Below are 26,511 nucleotides of genomic sequence, written 5' to 3'. Positions count from 1 at the left end.
ACATTCTTATGAGACAGACACCATTATTATCCCCACGTTACAGATGAGGATACCAAGGCACCACAGAGCTAAGTGGTCAAGCCGGGAGTGGGCACCACCCAATCCAGCCTGTGCTACTGAAGACCTGCTCTCTGATCACTGGAATCCTGGCAGTTTGATGGGAGAGACCTACTTCAAAAAATGCACAGTGCCATCAATGATGGAGCTGACAATAATCACAAATAACAACAACTGAATGTGTCTGTCCTTTCAATCAAGCACAGCCCATGGTACTTGTCAAAGCCCTTCTTTCTGTACCTATTTGAAAGGATGGATTTTTAGGCTTGAGCTCGAAGCCCCCATTCAGAATGAACAGAACCTCCCTATGTCCCACAGACACAGCAGATACATTCAGGTCTTTCTCTTTGGTTTGTCCTGCCTTACATGCACCCTCCTCTCCATCCCCCATCCTTTCCTAACTATCCTTTATCCTAAAACTGCTCATTCTAAGCCTTCAGCCCACATTAACCTCTTGCTTTCTCTTGTATTTTCTCTTCTATCCAGACACTGATCCCCAGACCCTGGAAGGTTTTCTGACTTTGAATAAAATAACAACTTCTAGATCTTGTCCTGGGCCATGGTCTGTCTGCTCTGTGACCTCCAGATGATGGAGAACTCCCGACCCATTTCCTCTTGGTGGGATGAGGTTTGCAAACTTCCTAGGAAATCACTACACATCAGTTGGGGCTGGCTGTTCCTGTGGAAAACCCATTCAACATTGCCAAAGCCTCCATCCCCTTTCTCGCTCATCCCATAAAGAATGGAAGTTTGTGGTCTCCCTTCTGCTCTATTGTTTGTACCTTATGATAAGGGGTCTGATGTGTCTGTGTTTTTCTCTCTGATTTCTGTCCTTCTTGTCTATTTTAAAACTCTGGCTGTTATTGTATATTCACCGCGAGGTAAGTACCAGATTCCAGGGGAAATCAAGATTCTTCCCTGACTACCCAAGCAGAGTGATGCTTCTTTTTGATTCAGTCATAGTGTTTTCTGTTTCATGTAACACAACTCCTTAGTAAAGGGTAAGCACCATGTTTCCTACCTAGTACAAGACTGATCAGAGGGTAGGCACTAATAGCACAAACACAATTTTTAGTTGGATGGAATTGAACAAACTCATTGCATTGAATGTTTCTGCATTTAACATCATTTGGAGAACACCAGGATGCAAATGTGGTCCATTTTCTCGCACAAAACTCCCCACCCATTGGTAGCCTGAAAGCCACAGTTGACAAATGTTAGGAAGCACCAGCAAAAACCAGTTTCCACCCCTCTTACCTTGACTTGTGTGACTGCCCACACTTCTATCCAGAGCCAAATGAAAGCTTCCAGTCAATGAAAAAATCTAGCAACCAATATTTAGGTAAGGTACTAAGAGCTATTTTGCATTCTGTTGCTCCCCCACCCTGCACCCCAATTAGGGTTCCCTGCATGGGCCCCGCAGGTATCTGAGGCTACTGCCTTGAAGCCCCCGCCCCACCCACTAAAGACACTGAGTACTGGAGGGTCCCCTCTCCTTGTTCTACAATCATAACACGCCCACACAGGGGCCTGCTTCTTCAGGGGTTTAGTGCCCTCCACTGGGGGACAAAGGGTAATCAATGGACTATTATGCAACTCACAAAATTCTTACTGTCTTTCCCCTTCTCAGGGAGAATTATGTCCTACCAGAGGAAAAAAAAATGCACACATCATCAATAAAATATTTGTGAGCAGCTTTTTAAAAAAACTATTATTATTTTTAAAGATTAGAAAATTAACAGCGGCCAGGCGCGGTGGCTCACGCCTGTAATCCCAGCATTTTGGGAGGCTGAGGCGGGTGGATCACTTGAGGTCAGGAGTTCCAGACCAGCCTGGCCAACATGGTGAAACCCTATCTCTACTAAAAATACAAAAATTAGCTGGGCATGGTGGTGGGTGCCCCATAATCCCAGCTACTCAGGAGGCTGAGACAGGAAAATCACTTGAACCTGGGAGGCAGAGGTTGCAATGAACTGAGATTGTGCCACAGCAGTCCAGCCTGGGCAACAGAGCAAGACTGTCTCAAAAAAGAAAAAAGAAAAAAGAAAAAAAGAAAAGAAAAGTAACAGCATACTAGAGTATAATTTTCATATGCTCCTCATTAAAATTTTGAAAATTGTTAGTTTTCATATTTACTCCATATCTATTTTAAAAATTATTTCAATTGCATACAGGTACCAAAACATTATGCCTCGAAATCATTCAGGATGCATCTTTTTAAAAAATCTCAGTAAGCAACGCTAAAGAAGAGAGACCACAAGCTCTAGACGTTTTCCTGTATAATTAAGAAGAGTCTGTTCAACAAACCCCCATGACATAAGCTTCTCTATGTAACAAACCTGCATATGTGCCACTGAACCTAAAACAGAAGCTTTTTTAAAAAGGAAAAAGAACATTTTCACACTTAAAAAATGAATACAATTTTCTAATCTCATGTAATAACTTCCCCAATTACTCTAAAGTGACTGGTATAGCTGGTTTGTATAGGTAAGGATTTAGCCGAGGCCCAGGAATTGCCCTTGGTTGGTGGTAACGTATATTTCAACTTAGAACCTGTCCGCCCCAGTGGCTCCCCAGCCCACCACACATTGCTGGCTTGCTGGAAGGAATGGGTGAGTTGTTGCCTCCACGTTTCCACCTTCTGGATTTGTCTGGCTGTTTCCTCCTGGTGTGCATTAGCTGGATGCTCTGCAGCCTGTGTTTGTTACGCACTGAAAGTTAGACCTAAGAGCTTGATTAAGTTCAGCTCACAAGTTTGTGGCATTACCTCACAGGTGATGCTAGGCACCGCATGGGGCATGGAAGGATATCTGCTTGTCCCAGTGTTAGGGATGCAGGAATTGATAAGGTGGAGAGCATCGGTGTTCTCCAGGATAAAGTCACATTTCTCCCCTTGCAACCAGCAGATGATCCCTGGAGTGATACTTTAACACCATGTAAATTCCCTGAGATGACTGTGTATCCATTCATGACATTTGCCTACATCAATTGGTTTACTAAAGATTTCTGCATTTTACAAGCAAGGAAACAAGGCTCAGAGATGACCGGTGGGCCACTTAGCAAATTGGTGGCTGAGAGGCTGGCCTGCCAGAGGTGGGATACTTGCTCACCTCTTGCCCAGTCCCTAACCCACAGAAGTCTCATGATGAGAGAACCCTCAGCACCCTGAGAGAGTTAACGCATCATCCTTTGGCGCCATGAATCTGCCCAGAAGCCAGCTGAGAAAAGAAGGTAGAGAACAGGGCTGAGGGACAAGGTGCCCCTTTATATATTTGGGTGAACACATTTTTAAATTTTCCTTTCATTGTCCAGTCCCCATGAATTATTTATTTGTTATTAAATTCAACTGAATGAGATTTCAAAGCAACGAAAATTGAAGTTCAAATGGAACCAAATTACCACTCTGAGCTCCAGGTGGCCCTGACAGCCCAGTTTTGTGAAGGGCCCCTGAGGCTGTTCACTGAGTCTGAGATGTCACCAGGCATGGAGGGTCTCTGATCAGCATCCAGAGCTCCAGAGTAGGGAGCAACCCCTCACCAGCACTTCTGGGCCCCAGGCAAGGCGGAGACCAAAAGAACCCTGGTAAGGTTCCCCAACCTCCATGTTCATTTAAAAAAAATGTTTAAAACTGACAAATAATAATTACATATATTCATGGGGTCCATTATGATGTTTTGATATACATATACACATATGGAATGCTTATATCAAGCTAGTTAACATATATATCACCTCACAGACTTATGTTTGTGGGTGTGTGGTACAAATATTTAAAATCTACTCTCAGCAATTTCTGAAACATACTTTACATTATTAAATATAGTCACCATGTTGTGCAATTGATCTCAAAAACTTATGCCTCCTGTCCAATGAAATTTTATATCCTTGTACCAACATCTCCCCAACCCACCCCCAACCATCCCTGAGCTAGTCTCTGCCTCTGTAATTTTGACTTTTTAAGATTCTACACAAGTGACATAATGTGGTATTTGTCTTTCTGTGCCTGGCTTATTTCATTTAACACAATGTCCTCCAGGTTCATTCATGTTGTCACAATTGACAGACTCTCCTGCTTTTTTAAGGCTGCATAGTATTCCATTGTGTACATACACCACACGTTTCTTATCCATTCATCTGTGGATGAGCACAGGGAATGTTTCCATATCCTGGCCATCCAGAACAGTGCTGCAGTGAGCATGGGAGTGCAGATGTCTCTTTGACAAGCTGATTTCAGTTCCTTTGGTTCTAAACCCAGAAGTGGGATTGCTGGATCATCCAGTAATTCTATTTTGGATTTTTTTTTTAAGGAACCTCCACACTATTTTCCATATGGCTGTAAAACTCACATTCCCTCTAACACTGTGTGAGGGTTCCCTTCTCTCCATATCCTCGCCAACACTTGTTATGGTCCACATTCACTTTTCAAGGTGAAATCCATTCTCTGCACTCCCCTGCTTGAAAGCACTCAGCGTCAGTGCGTTGCTCCTTCCCTCACTTCCGGAGGCCCCTGATCTGAACCTTCATCCGTCCCTCCCCACATGGGTCTCAACTTTTCCTCCAGCCTTTCAGCCTCTTTTCTCTCCAGGGACTGTGCACCTGCTCTCACCTGTGCCTGGGTTGTCAGTGAGCTCCATCGCACCCTTCATTCCCAGACCAGCTGCTGCCTTCTCAGGAGAGACACCTTCCCAGACCTCCTTCACCCACGTGCACCCCCACCCATCAGCCCCTTTCCCATTTCCTACAAAGTCAGGAGCATTCACATATCACCTGTTGCTCCTCTACCCACTGCCTCTTACCTCCACAAGAACACAGCAGCAGCATGAGTGGCCACTGAATCTCCAGCACGCAGCCCAGTGCAGGGACAGAGCAGTGGGTCCTGTGTTTGCTCAGCCTTTTCACCAGAATGTCAATCACATCTGCTCTGCTCACCCCACCACACTCCATGTCTACCATCACATTCTATAAACACGCACCAAGGATATAACGCCTGGCCTAGCGGTTGGAGATGCAGAGACCAGACCTAGCCTTTCTGTTCCTCCTCTTAAGAAACTGAGCCCCTCATGGAGAAGTGAGGCAGACACATGAACATAAGTTTTGCAACAGAAGCACTTTTCACCAGGTAATGCTATGGGAGCAAAGAAGGAAGTAACGGAGCCTGGGGGAACTCAAGATGTTTTCTGAATGAACTTTTATCTCTGAGTAAGAAACAAGGGCGCATAGGCAGAGTCTGCCACCCCTTTCTCTCCTCTCCATGGGGGCTGTGGAGATGGAGTGGGCAGGCACATAATCTGTGGGAGCACAGTGTATTCAGGGGAGTTATACCGTTCCATAGGTCACAGCTGGGCCCAGGGTACACATGAGGGACAGGCCAAAAGTGAGATGGGAAAGCGAGTCGGGGCCATGCCCTGAAGAGCCTGCAATGTGGACTTATCCTGATGCATCAGTCTGTTCTCATGCTGCTAATAAAGACATACCCAAGACTGGGTAATTTATAAAGGAAAGAGGTTTAATGGACTCACAGTTCCACATGGCTGGGGAGGCCTCACAATCACGGCAGAAGGCAAAGGAGAAGTAAAGGCACGTCTTCCACGGCAGCAGACAAAGACAGCAAGTGCAGGGGAACTCCCCTTTATAAACCATCAGCTCTTGTAAGCCCTATTCATTCTCATGAGAACAGCACAGGAAAGACCCACCCTCATGAATCGATTACCTCCCACTGTGTCCCTCCCAGGACACTTGGGAATTATGGGAGCTACAATTCAGATGAGATTTGGGTGGGCACACAGCTAAACCATATCACCTGACTACTGACCTTTTCTAAAACTGTGAGTTCAAAGGACCTCAAACAGGGCTGTGGTGGGTGCCTGCTGGTGGGTGATGAGGAAAGGCTGGTCGTTATTTGCAGCCAAGGCTCTGGTCACACAGAATCAGACACAGGCTCCGCAGTGAGCAGCCTCGGCAGGCCTGGAATCCCAGGCTAGTTGTGCCTGTGATTGGTTCTGTTATCAGCACACTTTTCATTTTGGATTCTTTTGGCCATCCCTCTCCTCGTTAATGATGTCATCAAAGAAGGAACACAGCATCACCTCAGGCCCGGTCTCTCCCACTTGCCTTCTTTGACACAAATACTTCTGACATCTTAGATTACGTGTCAGAGGGACAAACGGTCGAGTCAAATTCGATCTTATGTTTTTTTGGTTTTGTTTTTTAGACAGAGTCTCACTCTATCACCCAGGCTGGAGTGCAGTGGTGAAATCATGGCTCAGTGCAGCCTTGACCTCCTGAGCTTAAGCGTCCTCCCACCTCAGCCTCTGGAGTAGCTGGGACCGCAGGCGTGTGCCACCACTCCCAGCCTCAAACCTGATCTTACACTGAGTGTTTGTTATGTAAGCACACACACAGAGGTGTGCCACCACTCCCAGCCTCAAACCTAATCTTACACTGAGTGTTTGTTATGTAGGCACACACACAGAGGTATGCCACGACTCCCAGCCTCAAACCTGATCTTACACTGAGTGTTTGTTACGTAAGCACACACATAGAGGTGTGCCACCACTCCCAGCCTCAAATCTGATCTTACATTGAGTGTATGTTATGTAAGCACACACACAGAGGTGTGCCACCACTCCCAGCCTCAAATCTGATCTTACATTGGCTGTTTGTTATGCACAGGTTAACAGCTGCAGTGTGTACAGGCAGATGCCTGCACAGCACAGGTCCAGGGCCGAAGGGTCCCTGAGAAAATACCACATGTCCCATGTCCATGCCACCAAATAAATACACGGTAGCAGACTGTTTTGATATGTCATGTGATCTTTGAAATACGAATGCCATGCCTTGTTAATCATGAAAACACCTTCTCTCATCTTACTAAAGCACGTTCCACCATGGGCACTGGCCCCACTTTGACAGAGTGTTGAAGGAAGAGCCCATTAGTCCTCCCCAGCCATATATCATACATGTCCAATTTTCTAGCCACTGACAAAGGATCTTCATAAAATATGACTAAGTTGTCCAGGAAGCAAAATTTCTCAAGGTCTAGCCAAAAACAATATGAGAAATGCACAACCCCTTCCCGTCCGGGGCAGCTGCATTTCCAAGTGATTATCCATCAGCTACAGGTGACGCATCTCCACATGGAGGAGACTGCGATTCCAGAAAGGCAAGGCCACGTGGGTTCCGTGAGGCCACGTAGAAGTGAACGTGGCAAAGAAGAGACAAAGAAGGGTGGGCAACCGTATTGGTCAGGAATCTCCAGAGGGACAGATCTGTGGGATGTATGTGTATATGAAACGGAGCTTATTAGGGAGAATTGTCTCACATGCTCACGACGTGAAGTCCCACCATAGGCCATCTGCAAGCTGGGGAAGAGAGAAGCCGGTAGTGGCTCAGTCCAAGTCCAAAAGCCTCAAAACCAGGGAAGCCGACAATGCAGCCTTCAGACTGTGGCCAGAGGCTGGAGAGCCCCCGGCAAACCACTAGCATAAGTGCCAGAGTCCAAAGGCGGAGGAACCGGGAGTCTGATGTCCAAGGGCAGGAGAAGCTGAAAGAAGCATCCAGCACAGGATAAAGCAAGAAGCCAGAAGAACCAGCGAGTAAGCTTATCTTACCTTCTTCTGCCTGCTTTGTTCTGCCTGCACTGGCAGCCGATGGGATGGTGCCCACCCACACTGAGGATGGGTCTTCCTCTCCCAGTCCACTGACTCAAACGTCAGTCTCCTCTGGCAGCACCCTCACCGACACACCCAGAAATCACACATTACCAGCTATCTAGGCATCCTTCAATCCAATCAAGTTGACAACTAACATTCACCATCACGGCAACAGAAGAAAAATTGGAGAGGGGGGAGCTGGCCAGTGGTGCCCTGCAAGGCCAAGCAGGGGTGCACTTGTATAATTTGCACACTTATAATTTGACATTTATAATTTCCCCTCCTATACTCAATGAGGCCCTTGCTTAGAGGTCCACCAACATCTAAATTCACTGCAGGATTTTCTCCCACAAGGAAAACCCAGATGTTTTAGGAGAACCTAATGCCATCAGTATGGCTGACGGAATGGAGTCGCTTCCTGCAATGAGCAGATGGTTTTAGGAACAGGACAGAAGGAAGAGGCTTGCTGAGTTGACTGCACTTCTGTCGGAATCAGCTTTCTCAGGAGATGCTCCCCTTGAGCTAAGCAGGGCAACCTTCCCCTTTGCAATCCCCACCCACAGACCCCATTGGAGCAATAAGTATTGTGATCAGGGTACTCATTGGGGACAGTAATTAAATGTCTGTTTGGAGAACACAGGCTCCACAAGGCTAACCAGGCCAACCCTCTGACCCCATGGGGCTGGCCTTTGTGATTCAGAATGGGGGTATTACCCCAGGCCCTCAGAGGACACCCTGTTCACTGCTCTCAAAATCCGATCACATGTTGAGTGGAACATGACACTGATTAGTATTCCATAAAATCCTGTGGATGGCTTAAAGTGGCCTGATTTTAGAGAACTATAGTGTGCATGATGCACATTAAGAGAGGAACAGCAATGATTAAAGCATCAGGAAAAAGGAGCTGGAAGCAAAGCTAAGGGAGCTAGGGTTGTCTGACATGAAATAGAGAAACAGGAGGTTTTATAGTTGTCCATTCAGTTATCCTCTTGTGATTTTTTTGATCAATATGAAAGTGCACAGATATGAGACTTATCCTAAGGATGATACTAAAAAGCATGAAATGTTTTTCACACTCAAGCTGAGGAGACAACTTGAGAACAAGGAAAAACGCACATGGAAGAATGAAGTGGCCATTGAAGGGGCAAGTCTGTGGCTGAATGAGGGGTCCCCACAGAAACTAAAAAGGGGCTTGGCTGGGCACAGTGGCTCATGCCTGTAATCCCAGCACTTTGGGAGGCTGAGGCGGGCGGATTACCTGAGGTCAGGAGTCTGAGACCAGCCTGGCCAACATGGTGAAACCCCATGTCTACAAAAATACAAAAATTAGCTGGGCGTATTGGTGTGTGCCTGTAATCCCAGCTACTCAGGAGGCTGAGGCGGGAGAATCGCTTGAACCCAGGAGGCAAAGGTTGCAGTGAGCCGAGACTGTGCCATTCATTGCACTCCAGCCTGGGCAACAAGAGTGGAACTCTGTCTCAAAAGAAAAAAAAATGGAAGCTAAGGAGGGGCTTTATGGAGACAGTACAATGTGTAAAGGCCCATCACCCATAAAGCCTCAAAGTCCTGACAATCTGTGCGTGTGAGAATAGCTTCATCTTTGAGGTCCAAGTGCCTAGAAAATCTTAGAGGAGGCAGGAAATAGAAATCCAATGTTTACTGAATGAATGAGTGACGAAGGAAGAAATGAGTAAGACGGTAGGAGCAAGAAGTGTTAACATTCTTTTTTTTTTTTTTTTTTTTTTTTGAGATGGAGTATGGAGTTTTGCTCTTGTTGCCCAGGCTGGAGTGCAATGGCGCCATCTCGGCTCACTGAAACCTCTGCCTCCCAGGTTCAAGTGATTCTCTCACCTCAGCCTCCCGAGAAGCTGGGATTACATGCGCCCGCCACAGTGCCCAGCTAATTTTTGTATTTTTGGTAGAGATGGGGTTTCACCATGTTGACCAGGCTTGTCTACAACTCCTGACCTCAGGTGATCCGCCCGCCTCAGCCTCCCAGAGGGCTGGGATTACAGGCATGAGCCACTGTGCCCAGCCCAACACTCTTTATATAAATCTCCATGCAACATCCTAGTTACAGAATGTAAAGGATTTTTTTGCCTGCATATTTCTTGCCTGTGACAACATTAAACATTGCTGATCACCCCTTTTCTGATAAGATTTCCTCACTTTGCTCCTCCACTTTCCCTTCTAAATGTCCTGCCTTGTTCACTCTTCTCTTTCCATTGTGTGGAATTGTACTGATGTGTGCTGAAAGAAAGAAGGAAAGAAAGAAGAAAGGGAGAGGAGGACAGGGGAAGGGATGGAAGGAGAAAGAGAAAGAGTGAAATCACAGATATTTACTGAGCTCCAGGCTCTAGCTGGATACTCGCACAGTAAATAAGGCAGGTCTGTTCTCTTCGAGGTCTTTCAGACTGCAGAGAAAGCTGCACAGACAATTTTAATACTGCGTTGTTTGTTGTGGTAGAATTAAGCACAGGATGAGACTGGAGTGCACAGGATGAACAACTGATCTGAACTGGAAATTACAGAGGAAGCTTTCCAGAACACCACATGGCATTCAGGTTGGTGAGTGTCCAACTGGTCAGTTAGATACAAAGACCTGGAGACAAGAGGCGGACCTCTGGAGGGGTGGAAAGGCCGAAGAGGTAAACACAGGACCAACCACAGCTCCGTCAGGGGCACCGTTGGCAGGACCAGCAGCACGCTGCACGGTCACGGGGAGGTGAGCCTCGTTTGGGGTCTTGACGAGGAAGGGCAGGCTTCACAGCAGAGGTGGTTTGAGGCCTGTCTTAAAGGCCCAGCAGGCTTTTTGTTGATCAGCAAGTGCAGACAGAAGGGAAAGTCCATTTTAGAGAAAGCAGATCATCACCAGCAGGTCACACCTGTGCGGTATGTGCAGTCTGTGTGGGAAATCTCCTGGATGGATGCGTGGGTTAACTGCTGGCGTGGGGAGGGAGGAGGCTGGAAAGGCATGTTGGGACCAGACAGAGAAAGATCACAAACCATTCTAGGGGACGTGGGGAGCATCTGCCAGCAGTGCGGAAGCCTCGGAAGGCCAGAGCAGATGGTCTTGCCCCGAGTGTGGCTCCATGGAAAGGGACGGAGTAAAGGAGGGGAGGGAGGAGAGGAAGGGGTAGGCTTGAGAGGGTCCAGGCAACAATAGGTCTGGGAGACGGCGGAGGCTCCACTCACTGAAAGAGAAATGAAGTGGGGCAGAGGCTTGGCATGACGGGGGATGGGGCGAATCATCCAGAAAAGTCTGTTGCATGAGGCAGAGAGAAACAAAATTGCTATTCAGGAGCTGGAGAGGAGTTAAGAACAGAAGAAAAGGAAACAGGCAAAGACAAACAGGCAGGTGGTCTTCAATTCTATGTAAGGACTCAGAGAATAACTGGGATTTTTTTTTCAGTGTATGTTCTAAGGGACTTTCAGTTTGTAAAAATAGCAGTTCTGGTAAAAAATAAAATAAATAAATAAAAAATAAAACTCCCACTTCTACTCTGGAAGTTGATTTTGCTCTATTATAATCTAATCGAAACCTTTTCTGTGAACTCCAGATTCATACATTTATTTCAGTATCCAATGGCATCTTAAACTTTACAAACCAAACATAACCCTAAACCTGTTCCTTTCTCAGCATTCCCAATCTAAAAACAATGGCACTCTATACTTGCAGGGGCTGGGCCAGAAACCTGACTGTTATGCTCCCTAATATCCCACATGTGGTCTGTGGGTCAATCTTGGCAAGTCTCCTCGCAGAACACACTCTCAGTGCTTTCACCCACCACTGCCACCCGGGGCCACGCCAGCACCATTTCTTGACTCGATTACTGCAATAGCTTCTCAAACACCAACAACCATTCATCCCAGAGATCCATCTCAGATTAGGAGTCTCTTCCTTCACACCCTCCAGCAGCCACCCAGCTCACTTTGGTTAAAACCAAAATCCTTAAATAACCAACAGGCACACATGGTCAGGTTCTTCTGACCACTCCTCAGCCACGATGGACTTCGTCATGCTCTTGCACAGACCACCCTCCCCGACCACCCCAGGGCCTTTGCACTTATTCTGTATTCTCAAAATGCTCTTCCTCCAGCTGGCTGTGGTGGTTCACTCCCTTGCTTCATTTAGCTATTTGGGCAAATGTGAACTTTGCAACGTGACCTCTTGGCCACGCTTTTAATAATTTTAAGCCATTTCCCTGACCCTCTATATTCATTCCCTGATTTTTTTCCTTTATAATTTATCACCATATAACATGTAATAATTTTTACTGATTCATTTGCTTTTGTTCCCTATGCATTGGAATTCAAAGCCAAGGAAGGCAAGGTTTTTTGTTGCTCACTGCTGTATCCAAGTGCTTAAGAGAGTGTCTGGTGCCTGGAATATATTTGGCATTCAATCAATATTTATTTGTGAATGACTGGATTATTAGGAAAGTCTTCAATTTTATTTTTAATATGAATGGACATTATTGCAATTCCACATAAAGGCAGGATAATAGAGTCGATTATCCTCTATTTTCCACTGAGTCATATGAGCCCCTATCCTTACATGGAGCAAACCTCCATTTTCTATCACTGAATTTCCATTTTTACTCTCTGCAAAATATGTGCCTATCTTCCTAAAAATCATAAATCTGTCCACTGCATCAGTATATTAGAACAAATCCTGATGTGATTGTTTGCAAAACAAATTTAAAGGCTCTTTAGTTTCTGCCTGTATGAGCAGATTGGCATGATTTACTTTTAAAGTGTAGACATTTTATGGGGCAAGAATGAGTTTAGATACTTGTTTTATTTATACAGACATTTAGAAGTGGACATTTACTAGTGCAAGTATCATTATCAATTTCTTTGCAGAGGAAAGGTTAAGGGAGTATATATCACTGCCAAATGCAGTAGCGATCATGGAGGCTCCCACAATAGGGCCATTCCTCTTTCTTCTCCTTCTTGACTTGGATCCTGAAATGCAGGCAAACTATAGATATCCACCCTTCTTCTGCCCTCAGTAACATAAAGAGATGGGGCACATCACCCTGTGGCAAGCAGAGCCAATCCCTGGAGCTCAATGCTGTAAGCAAAAAGCTGAGCAAGGCCCCTAGGAGATCTGTCTCCAGACCATAGTGTGTTAGACAAAGTCTTTGTTTCCTTCTTGGAGGCCCCTCTAATTACCTGCCTAGACCTGAGTCTCACTTTATTAATTAAATCTCCTGAAATTTTGTGATTTTAAAAAAGATGACCGCAAATTCTTTGATACCTGTATTAGTCCATTCTCACACAGCTAATAAAGACATACCTAATACTGGGTAATTTATAAAGAAAAGAGGTTTAATTGACTCACAGTTCAGCATGGCTGGGGAGGCCTCAGGAAACTTACAATCATGGCAGAAGGGGAAGGAAATATGTCCTTCTTCACACGGCAGCAGGAAGGAGAAGTGCTGAGCAAAAGGGGAAAAGCCCCTTATAAAACCATCAGATCTCGTGAGAACTCACTATCATGAGAAAGCATGAGGGTAACCATCTCCACGATTAAATTACCTCCCACAGGGTCCCTCCTCCAACATAATCCAACAGGATTATGGGAGCTACAATTCAAGGTGAGATTTGGGTGGGGACACAGCAGAACCATATCAATACCTCTCCCTTCAAGAGGTGGAGTCTTGTGTCTGGGCTGGATTTTATGAATTGCTCCTAATGTATATGGCAGAAGTGAGCGAGCACAACCCATAAGACTAGATCACAGGAAGGGGCTACGCTGCTGTCTCCACCAACCTCCCTCCCACCACTCCCTCAGTCACTTGTTCTGGGAGAATCCAAATGCCACATCATGAGGAAGGGCCTACGTGGCTAGCACCCGAGGCCTCCTGCCAGAGGCCACATAAGAGAGCCTGGACGTTGCCCTGCTGCCTCCACAAGCCCTCAGGTGACAGCTGCCTCAGCCAGCACTAGCTGCGTGCTCCTGGAAGGCCTGAGCCAGAGTACCAGCCAGTCTGCTCCCAGATCCCTGCTACCCAGACCCTGTGGGTAACAAATGTGCATAGTTTTAAGCCACTAAGTGTTGGGGTAATTTATTATATAAGTGTCTAATTTCATCTTCAAATAGTGATAATCCTGTATTTTAAATATGTAATAATTCTGTTTAGCAAAATCATCTGGAGTACAGAGGAATTCGATCATCTGTTTTACGTTCTCAAGTTTACTGAGCATGTCCAGTGTGAAGCCCTGTCCAGCTATGCTGGAGCAATAGCGTTGAATCAGACGGGTCCTGCCCTCAAAGGGCTCGCAGCACGGCGGGAGAGTGGAGGTGTGCCCTGCACATAGAGGCCTCGGAATAAGCGATCATTGCTGCTGCTCCTGCTGTTGTCAGACTCAGCCTCTTCTTTCATGGGATGGGCCAAAATAAGCCCACTTATGAGGGTGTTTGTAGGACCCTGGCTTTGTAAACTCTGGTAGGAGACTGAGTGGCCGCCTGACTGTGGATATGCAATTGGCTGGTTCCAGGTACACCCAGGCTACAGCAAAGGGAGTGACTCACATTGCAGGAAAAACTGACGAGACTGCTAGGAGGCCAGCAAGGGGAGGCTGGGCGTCCTCCAAAGCAGGCTGTGCAGTGTGGAGACAGGCAGCTGCAGTGAACGCCAGGTCCATCCCATCACCTCTACCTACAAGGGGAGCACACGGTGAATACCCAACAAAACCGTGGGTCTTTCCTCTCAGAGTCTGATCCATTTCTTGAGCCAGCCTTGCTACATAACCATAACTACTAATACCTGGTTTTCTAAAAATATAAATCACGTTGACCTTTGCTGCTGTTGTTATAAATATAATTGATGTTAATAGTGAAACATCTGGAATAATATAGAAAGGATAAACTAGAAATCATTTAATCATAATTTCACACACAGAGACAGCAAATCTAGTATAGTCATTATACTATTTTTACTAGTATTTTTAATCTATTGTTTATAAGATTTGGTCTCTATATGTAGTTTTAGATTTTATTCTCCCACTGTTTTCACTTAATGTTGTAATATAGAGATTTTCTTATATAATAAAAAATCTTCCAAAGTATGACTTTAATTATGAAATATTTTATTATGCAGACATAGCACAAATACCAAGATTTAAAATGTTTTACTTTATAAACCAAAAGCATAAAGGTATTGCCTCAATAGCACCTTATGCACACTAGCGATTTCCTTTTACTGACTTGCTTAACTGATCCATAATCATTCTTATATAAATACCCACTGTTGGCATTTACCTCTTGCCATTTTCTAGAACTGGAATTACCAGGTTGATAACTGGAGAACTTTATCAAGTTAACTCAATGTCCCTGAAAAATTTTTCTTATCTGTATAAAGGGGACATGAGATTATTTACGGCATTTCACTATAATACACACTAAGTTGATAGCATGGGTAGATAAATCTTTGTGTGCATAAAAAGGCACAGTGAGGACATAACCCAGATCCCACTCGCTTTCCACGACACCCAGCTGCCTTCTTGTTCTAATTCATGTAAATCATTAAGGGTATTTTAAAAGGTTCTAATGTTGCCTCTGAAGTCAGCCCCACCCAAGCTATAACCTGGGCAACAGGGGAAACCGGGGGCGATGTCACACCTCAGCTCTGTTCCTTCCCCTTCCCAGCCCGCAGCTCCTGGGAGAGAAGCAGAAATCCAGTCCCCTCGACTCCCTGGTCTCGCCTGGAACTTAGCTCTCACCTGGGACTCAGCTCCCAGAGTGAAAGGGATTGTCCTGTAGCGTGAACTGTGAGTGACACCCACACCCTCCCTTGTAAATCTGCTCCAACAAGCTCTCCTCCAGGACGCTGTCTTTTCTGTGCTATCGAGCACAGCCCTGACATTATAGCTGGCCTTGCAGACACCACCAGACGACACCCAAGAAAAATGGCAGCGCCAGAGCCGTGAGCATCACAGGAGGTCTCAGGGACACGCCAAGGCCGCCTCCCAGGAAAAAGCAGAACACCGGAAAAGACCTTGTGAAGACTTCTTATCTTCCCCTCCAAATGGTGTCTCTTGCTTTGGCTCTCGTCGAGTTGGGGCTTGTTGGAAGACCAGGTGAAGGCCCAGCTGCTAAAGCTTCCCCTTTCTACTTCTTGTTACTCTATTACTCAATTAGGACTGGTGCTGCTTTAGGGGAAAAACATTATTTGAAAACACAGAGGTTCCCTCTGCTTTGATCCTACACAGGCAGAGATATCTCCAAGCAGAGAGATCCAAAAAAGAGCGCCCCCTGCGGGAAACGTTCTTTTAATTTAGACTTTGCCGCTCCTCCTGTGGAGACGTTGTCACAGTTACGGTAGTGGGTGATAGATCCCCAAATTTCTGCCACGTGCTCAGAGAGCTAAGGCATATCCCACACCCACGACATGCTTACAGGTGTGAACCTGGGTCCAGGCAGGTGCCCTGTTCCTAACTCTGGTCTTGGACGTGTGATTTAAGCCAGGCCTCAGTTTCCTTGCTCACAGATGTGGATCCCAGGAGCTGCCTCAAATACTTGGAGGCATGAATGGTTCTAAATCACGCATGCCATGCCTGACACATTAACCCCCCATTCTCTTCACTGTGCAGGGTGAAACAACAGACAGCAACCCAGCCTGGGCAGCACATGTCCTGCACCTGGGCTGTGCAGATACTGAGAGCTCCCTCCCTGGAGTGGAAATTCCTGCAGCATGCATGCAGAAAGGAGATGGCCAGGAAGTCCCAGGAAGATGTAGAAAGTAGAAAGGGAGGCAAGAGCGAGGAGTTCTCATTTGGGAGAAAGGCTCACCAGTGAGGCAGGAAGGGACCTTTGGAAACATGTGAGAACCTACGTGCATGGGTCCTCACCAACTTACTCTCAGCAGCGAGGCCTGCCAACAAGAAGGCATAGGCTCACCAGCTGCACACGGCTAATGCTCACCCAGCACCACCCTGCCTGTCCGTGCATCTGCCGTGCACGTCAGAGGTCAACTACACGTCCCAGTGGTACCCATATGGGGACAGTGCTGGTCCCAGAGAACGACACTGATATAAGACCCAGAGACTGGAAATCTGCCACTCCACACTCCTTCCCTCAGAGAAGGTAAGAAATGAGAATTTTATACCCTCTCCAGCTCTGAACATGCCTCCCAGCCATGCCTCTTCTTCACAACTGTGAGATCGCCGCAAACATAATTCAGCACACAGAGCCCGAATCCTTATTTCCAGATAACATGAGCAGAAACATGCAGCTCTCCCTGCGCCGAACCAAGTCCCATTGACTATATCACACCACACCAAATCACACAGACATGGAAAACTCCACCAGGGCCAGCACTCTTCCCTAAGAACTCAACTGCCTGCATGCAACAGTGCTAACTTTCCCTTGAACAATCCGACAGAGCCGCGTGTTGATGGGAACGTCCCCTGACCTTTCAATCAATGTTTATGAATTTGTATCGCAAAGCATCCCGGGAAACTGTGCATGCTAACTGGCCCGAGGATGATCTCGCATCTATTATGAAGCAAATGGCCCATTCCTCAAGGAGGAGTTCTCCCGGGGATACCGTCTGTCTAGCTAGGATTCAATATACATATTTTGTATACCTGTATTTTATATAGATAATTTCTAATCATTTTAATTGTTCAACATTTTTACCCCAGAGCCTCCCTTTTCAGACTTAGAAATTGCTGCAGAAAACCTCATTCTTTTATGCTAGCAGGAATTAAAGGAAACACCCTTGGCCCAAACATGAAAGGAACTTTAATAGGAAACACACTGTAAGGGGCACACACGGGACTCAGGGTGGGAAGGAAGCACGGCGGGATCCCCCTACCCACACCCACACCACACGTGCCACACAGCCATGCTGTGGCTCATCCCAGGGTTCCGCCAATCAGCCAAAGCGCCTCCCTGCCTCACGCCTGCATTTACTAACTTCAGAAGACAGGACTACCAAGTGGAAAGAAGTTGAGGTAGGGAGATGTAGTGGCTCCAAGTGGTGGGGGCACAGCCTCAACAGAAGTTTTTTTTTATGTGTGTGTGTGTGTGTGTGTATGGTGTGTGTGTGTGTGTGTGTATGGTGTGTGTGTGGGGTATGGTGTGTGTGTGTTTGTGGTGTGTACAGTGTGGTGTATGGTATACAGTGTTTGTGTGTGTGGGTATGTATGGTGTATGTGGTGTTTGCATTTGTGTGTGTGGTTTGTGTGTGGTGTATATGATGTGGTATATGGTGTGTGTGGTATGTGATGTGGTATGTTATGGGGTGTGTGTGGTGTGTAGGATGTGGTATGTAGGTTGTGTGGCATGTGGTGTGTTATGTGCTATGTGTCATGCATGTGTATGCTGTGTATGATGTGGTGTGTAGGTTGTGTGGCATGTGGTGTGGTATTTGATGTGTGTGTATGGTGTGTATGATGTATGTAGGATGTATGGCATGTGGTGTGTTATGTGCTGTGTGTCGTGTGTATGATGTGTATGATGTGGTATGTAAGTTGTGTGGCATGTGGTGTATTTGGTGTGTGTGTGGTGTGTATGATGTATGATGTCATATGTAGGATGTGTGTTATGTGGTGTGTTATGCTGTGTGAGTGGTATGTGGGGTGTGTATTATGTGATATGTGTGTGTGGTGTGTGTGTGTGGTGTTCGAAGGTAAGAGTGGTGCTTGCCTCACCTGCCCATGTACTAAAGTTGGAAATATGTGGAGAAGCTCAGCATAGCCACAGCTCTTGCACAAGGAGACGCAAGCTCACGACGGCTCCATATTTTTGTAGAATGCCAACTGATGGGCGCAGACGGAGAAATGAAATTAGAAGATTGCCATCTGACAACCATTGTAATAATACTTGACTCGGGTAAGAATCATCAATGCATGCCCAAACTAGGAGGTGAAAATTTGATGAGTCAAAAGATATGAATATAGTCCGAAAAAATCGCCCCACAATTACTTGTTCATTTCAAAGGAAATAGAGCAACCTACGGTGGGAAAACCTTACAGATGCCACCTTAAACAAGAGATCAAAATGACCATCGCCAGCAGGACACACTGATATCACGTGCCTCTTGATAGGATGCATGGCAAGGACAAAACATCACTTCTCTAGGATTCTGGCCAAAATTCTAATTATGAGGAAACATCAAACAAATCATAGTGATGGGCACTGTACAGAAAACCTGTTCTGTTCTGAAAAATGTAAAGGCCATAACAGGCAAAGAAAGAGGGAAGAAATATTCTAGTTGAAAGGAAATTAAGGAGACAGAGCAACTACACACACTGGAGGCCTGGGTGGATCCCAGACCAAGGTGGCAGTGGTCCACAGTGTGCCAGGGAGCAGGTGAAACTGGAATGTTGATGCCAGGTTAGACGCCGATACTGTGCCAACTGTGAATGTCCTGATTCTGGTCACGGTCCTGTGCCTCTGTAAGAAAATGCTCTTTTTATTGGTAAATACAGAAAGAGAGAAAATAATAAAGTAAGTGGAGCAAAATGTAAACAATTGGTCATCTGAGTAAAGGATATAAACAGGTCATAGTATTTTTGCAACTGTTTTCTAAATTTAAAATTCCACCTAAATAAACAGATACAATACACAGGTGGGAGAGCAGGTAGGCAGATGGTCCAGTCTGTGAGAACCCCTTTCTGCATAAGCACAGCTCCCACCCCTGATGTCATGTCATGGATAAATAAATGCAACATCCTGGAAATTGTTGAGAACCACCAAGGGTCAGCCAGCCCATCATCCCAATCACTGTGATGTCCACACGTCCTAGATGGAACTGATGTGAGAGTTTTGCAAAATCCTGCCTCTTCTGAACCTTGCTTTGGACAGTTTATAAAGCTGCACGATGAACAAAATGCTGGGCAGTGGATGTCCACATCAACTCCTTGCGTTACTGACCCGGTCTCTTCATCTGGTACATCGGGAGGGTCAGCAGAGGCAGTGACACCGCCCTATCTCCTGAGGCCACGTGGTGAGGGGGGGAAGAGGAGGTGAGGAAGGCAGGGCAGGGGGCCCTTTCTTAGGGACCTTATCCTTTCTCTTAGGGACCCTTGCCTGTCAGATTCACCAGCTTCTGCTCTCTCTCTGTCCCTCAAGCAAAAAACTGCCATTGTTATACCGCGAGAGACTTTCTCAAATGCTTCTGACGGGACACAACTAACACAGCAGGCTCTCTGCTGCCTACAAACTAGGGAACACATTTTCTTCCTACAAGGAGGGCTGATAGAAACTTTTCTTCTGCCAGGGTTACAAGAAATGCATTCAGATAACCCAGGAAATAGAAATATGCCCAGCTATGAGAAGCTATAAGTCTGCTCAACAGAAAGCCATAGACCGCTCAAAATACGTAAGCCCTTGGCTGCTGGACTGAGATTCTACCTGCACCCCTGAGGAATTGCTGGAGGTTTCTAAGCAGGGGAGGCGGAGGATTCCTATTTGCTGTGAGTGCCCACTGATCACAGGCTCTGTTTCTTTCCTGTTCCCTTCAAGGTTGGCTCAGTTCTTCTGGGAACCTAAAGGCTTCCCAATAAATACGACTGAATTGCACAGAATTGATTTTTTTTTTTTTTTGAGAAGGAGTCTTGCTCTGTTGCCCAAGCTGGAGTGCAGTGGCGCAGTCTCGGCTCACTGCAAGCTCCACCTCCTGGGTTCACACCATTCTCCTGCCTCAGCCTCCCGAGTAGCTGGGACTACAGGCACCCGCCACCACGCCTGGCTAATTTTTTTGTATTTTTAGTAGAGACGGGGTTTCACTGTGTTAGCCAGGATGGTCTCGATCTCCTGACTTTGTGATCCGCCCGCCTCGGCCTCCCAAAGTGCTGGGATTACAGGCATGAGCCACCGCAAACGGCCCAGAATTGAATTTTGAAAGTAGCCACACAAACTATTTATGGCTCCAGGCTAATATGGAAAAAGCTTAAGGACAGTAATTTAAACAAGGTGAGTAAAAGCCAAGGATTGGATTCAGCTTTTCTTACCAGTTCCACCTGGGGTCCCTGGTGCCCTCAACAACCCACTGAACCTCTGTGCTTCTCAGCTCAACGGACCAGAAGCAGCAAGTCCAGCCTCTGCAGGCGCCTCTATGGGCAATGGTGGTGGTGGTGGTGGTGGCTTTGTATTCCCAAAAAAATATACTTTTTGATACACAAGGGGTCTGTATTTAAAATGAAACATTTTTCAAGGTTTTATTCTTCCTGTTACGGATGGGAATACAAACCCTAGATTTCATAACATACTTCTCAATAGGCATATCCACATATTCAACTAAATGCAAGAGGATTTAAATGTTTCAAGCCAATTAGCAACCGGATCCTAAGCTACACAGAACCTGAACCTTTGTTTGTGGACCAACAGCATCTTAGCTCCTTGGAGCATGTGGCCAGTTGGCTCATTGTGTGAATTTGCAGGTCGGGGGATAGCATTACCACAGCCTAGAGCAGAAACCCCCTCCCCACCAGCAGTGAGGGTCCTCGAAGTGTGAAGACTGGGAAAGATGAAGGCTACTTTGCTGCTCACGACCCAACGAATGGCTCCAGAGACTGAGATCCACACAGCACCCGCTTTTGCCAAGTTCCATGGCCCCATGCCTGGAAGAGTCTGAGGAACTGAGGCTTCCAAGGCTTGCTCATCACATCTTCACAGGCATAGAAATGGAGGAGAAGAAAGGATGTTGTCTTTCTTATAGTATTTACAACAAAACAGTCTGGTCTCACTTGAATTCCTCATAATAAAACATATGGTCTTGAACCCTATGCCAGCATTGGAACCTCTAAAGGTAGACAGGGCTTAGGATGCTCCAAGAACGGTGATTCTCACCTTTGGGGTTTTGACACTTGATAATTGTGCTAGTGAAATCTGCTACTGATAATGATTAAAGTCTCGCTCTGTAACTAATTTATTTAAAAAAATAAACCAGAGAAGATTAAAGTCGATACCTCAGATAACCACATTCTGATTTCCTTGCATTTCACGTCGATTTCATGAGTGGGGTAGAGTTTTGGTGCCTGCGTGAGGACTGCCGTGGGAATGAGCTGTGGATGTTGTGGGTCACGGATGTTGTCAGTCAGTCGTGTGTGTGGAGCAGCAAGGCAGGGTGAGCCTCTGATTAGTGCAAGTCACCTGCTCTGGGACAGGCACTGCCTTTGATACTTTACTTTGTGGTCTCATTTAACACCCAACACAGTATTGTGAGACAATTAGTATTGTCCTCACTTTACTGGGGAGAACGGAGGGGTGTGGTGAGTTGAGCAAAGCCATTAAGTTAGAAAATGATAGAACCAGGACTTGGGTTAAATCTACCTAGTTCTAAAATCCACATTCTTTGCTGACACCTCACTACCTCCATCTGAGGCAGAAATGCCCTCCCTAGCATTGGCAATAATTGGACAGCAGTCTCTATTTGAACGTCTTAAACGAAAGAAAAAAATCACAATTCCTGGAGACTCGCATTCCACGTTTTGAACACTTCTGATGGAAATGTTGGACTTGCATTGAGCTAAAACCTTCTCTTTACATCCCTTCAGTTAATCCAAGTTATGCTGTTGTGAGTCACTCTTGAGAAATCCAATTCTGCTTCTGTGACATAGATTCTGAATTGTCTGAGGACAATTTTGTAGGGTACACAACTTTAGTGTTTTCAACTACTTCTCACTCCATGAGGTCCTGGCTCTGTGACTTCTGGGCTGGACGTGCTCTGAGCCACATCCTTCCAGAGGACAGGGCATGCTCTCCACTGTGCTGCCTGACACTCCAGCCGGAGCCACATGTGGCTCCAGTTCATCTGAAATGTGGCCAGTGCCAGAGCAACTGTTTTAAATTTTCATTAATTTTAATTACATAAAATTTAAATATCCACAGGTGGTTAGAGGCTACCGTATATCAGAGAGCACAGACCCAGACCTCCTCAGGAAAGCACGAGTTTCTCTTAAAAATGTGTCTCCTAGAACTGAGCACAGTGCTCCAGAGATAACTGGTCATCACTGTGCCTCTATTCTACAGACTCCATAGCACTAGCTGCCCAGGGGCCACATCCCCCAGTGACCCATCTCACACTGAGACTCAACTGTAACCTGTAAGACCTTTGCACATCTGCTGCTATCAAGTCCCATACCTCCCATTTTTACTTGACTTCCCCAGGCAGGAACTTCAGGGCTTCCAAACAGGGTTTAGATGAAGGAAGTAACTAGCATAGCTGGGGAGAGTTGCCTGAATTGCATGGACACTGATGAGCAGGGAACGGGGCTCCCGCAAGTCATGGTGTTTGGAAGCCAATAACCCTTGAAGATGGAGTTCACCATACAGCAGTTCTCAGAAAGCCACCAGTGTCTCAGAAGAGAGGGCACAGAACATCTCAGGGAAAACGGCAGGCATCGTGGTTGGTGTTGCCACGTGATGGGCCAGAATGGAATGCAGCTACTGCAGCCCAAGCCCCACTGGGCCAGAAGTGGGGATATTAGGCAGGCAGAGAGCACAGCCCCTCCCAGAGCAAAGCCCTAAAAGATAGTCAAGGACTCTGCTAGGCCAAGTGGATGGTTGTTTCCGTTTCAGCCAATGGTGCTGGGGCAGGTGCTGTGCCACGAGGGGCTTCCCATCACTCCATCACTCCAAAAGTGTGGTCACAAGACTGGCTGAGAGGGTAGATTCCAATGAGGGACATAAGAATCTGTCCTCCATCCCAGCACACCCAGGAAGACAAGAGACACAAGAACCAGGCTCTGCAGCAGGTCTGTGCATTCAGTGAACACCCGATGAAATTTCCAACACTGTGCGAAGTGCATTTTTGGCATTTGTAGAAGGTGGCCCCTGTTCTCAGGATGGGATGTCACTCCAATGACCTTGCATACATATGTGTCTATATGTCTGTATTTAATAATCCCCAAATGCAGTAGCTTTGGATAATAAATACCTGTGAGTTTCTTTGAGTACCACCCCATGTTTACTTGACCACTGGGCTATAAAATTTAACAAATCCTCAGAGAACCATGTCTGGCTAGAAAAGCAAGAACGGGGCAGCAAAGGACCAGAGGACCTTTTAAACTAAGAGCCTTCATTCTCTCCTGGCTTGGATTAGGGACGGACAGAGAGAAACACCAGAGAAGAACAATCACTCACTGTTAAAAAGGCTCTCTAGCTGAGTGTGGCTTTTAGTGAGAAGTGTCCTTCCAAGGTCCCTGGCCTGCGGCTAATTCTCTCCTCTGCTCTTACACTCCATGTTTGCTCCCAGCTACGCTTGCTCTCACTCTCTCCCTCCAACCCATATTCAGTCCTTCTTCAGCTGTAGAGAGCAGACAGAGTAGTCTTTGAAAAGCACAGTTCAGCTCCCATTACTTGCCAATTTAAACTCTTCAGTGCCTTCCTGCTACTCTTATAATGAAGCTAAAATCTGTGCCATACTCTGCAAAGTCCCAAGAGGTTGGTGCTGACACCTGCTCAGCTTCATCTCACACCACTCCTTTCCCTTCCTTGTGTGCCAGCCAAGTGGGCATTCTGTCAGCCCCGTGACACTCCCTCCTGTCCCACAGCCTCATTCGGGCTGTTCCTTTGCATGAACAATGTTCTCTTCTGTTCCAAACTAGTGAGCACCTACTGACACTTTAGCTGTCAGCCTACACATCCCTTTCTTGGGAAAAAAATATGTAACATCACCCTGCACCTCATTCTCAGCAGCCACATCCCACTCATTGGTCTCCCTGAACCACATCATTTCATTTGACAACAGTCCTCAGATGTGTAATGTTATATGTGTGGGTGAGATATTTAACAGATCCCTGGCTTCTTCACTGGGCCCTTAGCAATATACAAGTAGGCTCTACTTTAGGAGGCCAAGGCAGGTGGATCATGAGGTCAGGAGTTCGAGACCATCCTGGCCAACATGGTGAAACCCTGTCTCTACTAAAAATATAAAAATTAGCCGGGCGTGGTGATGGGCCCCTGTAATGCCAGCTACTCAGGAGGCTGAGGCAGGAGAATCGCTTGAATCTGGGAGGCAGAGGTTGCAGTGAGCCGAGATTGTGCCACTGCACTCCAGCCTGGGTGACAGAGCGAGACTCCATCTCAAAAAAAAAAAAAAAAGAGTAAGCTCTGTGGTTGTTTCTGCTCACTGTATATCTGCAGAACTGTGCCTAGCAACTGGTCCATGCTCAGAAACGAGCCCTGAAATGGAACATCGTGTAGGGCAGCAGATGGAACAGAATGAGAAAGGGGTTGTGTCTGAGGGGTTGGTCCAAGTGCCATGTGGATTCACCAGGGCTCACCACAGTGCCCTTCCTGCTGCTGCCACTTTCTTTATGGGTAAAGTCAGTCCTGTGTCAGGGCCAGCACAGCATGAAAGCCAAGGAAAAACACACCTGCAGCCTCTATACCCTGCTCGGCATGCTGTGTTTTCCTCCTTCTTTAGTTACAGTGCTATGGCTCCTGTGTCTAGAAAGTTTCTCCAAGTTGCCTAACCCTGCTCACCCAGGGTCTCTGAATTTCTGATGAGCTATGCCCTTCTCATATTTGTATTCATTCATCTTGACCTGACTCAGATCCATTGGATTCCAAGATCTTTGGGAGAAATAATCATAGAGAATTTATGTCTCTATCTCTAAATAACCAGGACAATGCAATGTTTTCTTAACACCTTCATCAAAGGTCTATATTTTGATTTGGCTTAGAAATAAATGCTGGCTGGGTGCGGTGGCTCACGCCTGTAATCTCAGCACTTTGGGAGGCCAAGGCAGGCAGATCACGAGGTCAGGAGTTCAAGACGAGCCTGGCCAACATGGTGAAACCCTGTCTTGCTAAATATACGAAAAATTAGCCAGGCATGATGGTGAGCGCCTGTTATCCCAGCTACTTGGGAGGCTGAGGCAGAAGAACCGCTTGAACCTGGAAGGCAGAGGTTGCAGTGAGCCAAGATCGTGCCATTGCATTCCAGCCTGGGTGACAGTATGAGACTCCATCTCAAAAAATAAATAAATAAAAATAAAAAATAAGTACTAAGCATACTAGGAAAGTTAAAGTTGCAATAGAAAGCCATGGCTTCTTTTTTAACTCTCAGTTTTTTATGACATAATTTCAGGGTCAGTTTCTCAATTCCCTTCTGCCTTAACTTCTGGGACTCGACATAAACAACATCACAGTTCCAGAAAACAAGGAGTACAACAAAGAACTTACTGTGTTCGTTCAGCAAACTTTAAAAACTTACTTATTAGGTATCACATATTTTCTGAAAATAATAGACATTAAAAAGAGGTATAAAATGCTTACTGTCTAGTTGGCGAGATGCATTAATGACTCATCACTATTTAAGAGATGTCAGAAGACAGTGAACGGTAAAGGCCAATTGAGTACAAGAGGCAAGAGAGTTTTCAGTTCAGATGAGGTAGATATTACTGCAGAATGTCCGGAAAAGCTTGAGAGTGGCGATGGGATATTCTTTGGGATGGAAAAGAAGTTGAGAATTGGATAAAATGAAAGATAAAAGGACATTCCAGATGGAGAAACTATATCAGCCCAGTGTGTAGGCTAAGTCAGTAACTGCTAAATGCCTGTCCACGGATTGCTGGTCTTTAAAGAAGCTCTTTTTTTTTCTTTATTCTTTCCCTTTCTTACTCTAGGGATAATGAAGCTCTTCTGAATTTGTGGTAAATTAAAACAAAAGAAAAAGAGATACAACAAGGTTTTATAAAGGCACCTGTTTTTTTTTTTTTTTTTTTTTTGAGACGGAGTCTCGCTCTGTCGCCCAGGCTGGAGTGCAGTGGTGCGATCTCAGCTCACTGCAAGCTCTGCCTCCCGGGTTCACACCATTCTCCTGCCTCAGCCTCCCAA

At 46.1% G+C, this 26,511-nt stretch overlaps 1 protein-coding gene across 10 annotated transcripts in view, besides 1 other annotated feature; it reads right to left on the bottom strand.

Moving 5' to 3' along the window:
- Positions 1–26,511, bottom strand: part of DPP6 (dipeptidyl peptidase like 6) — a 1,146,153-nt gene that overhangs the window by 782,894 nt on the left and 336,748 nt on the right. The gene's annotated exons all lie outside the window — the stretch shown is intronic.
- Positions 10,515–11,016: an enhancer, noted in NCBI's record as "H3K27ac hESC enhancer chr7:153797461-153797962 (GRCh37/hg19 assembly coordinates)". NCBI's record gives its function as "activates a minimal SCP1, AML or CMV promoter by ChIP-STARR-seq in primed H9 embryonic stem cells {active_cell/tissue: H9 hESC(primed)}" and the evidence as "EXISTENCE:reporter gene assay evidence [ECO:0000049][PMID:30033119]".

Source organism: Homo sapiens, chromosome 7 (assembly GCF_000001405.40).
Source record: "Homo sapiens chromosome 7, GRCh38.p14 Primary Assembly".
Taxonomy (NCBI): Eukaryota; Metazoa; Chordata; class Mammalia; order Primates; family Hominidae; genus Homo; species Homo sapiens.
Note: the sequence above shows the minus strand (reverse complement) of the source record. Positions and strands in the feature narration are given on the sequence as shown.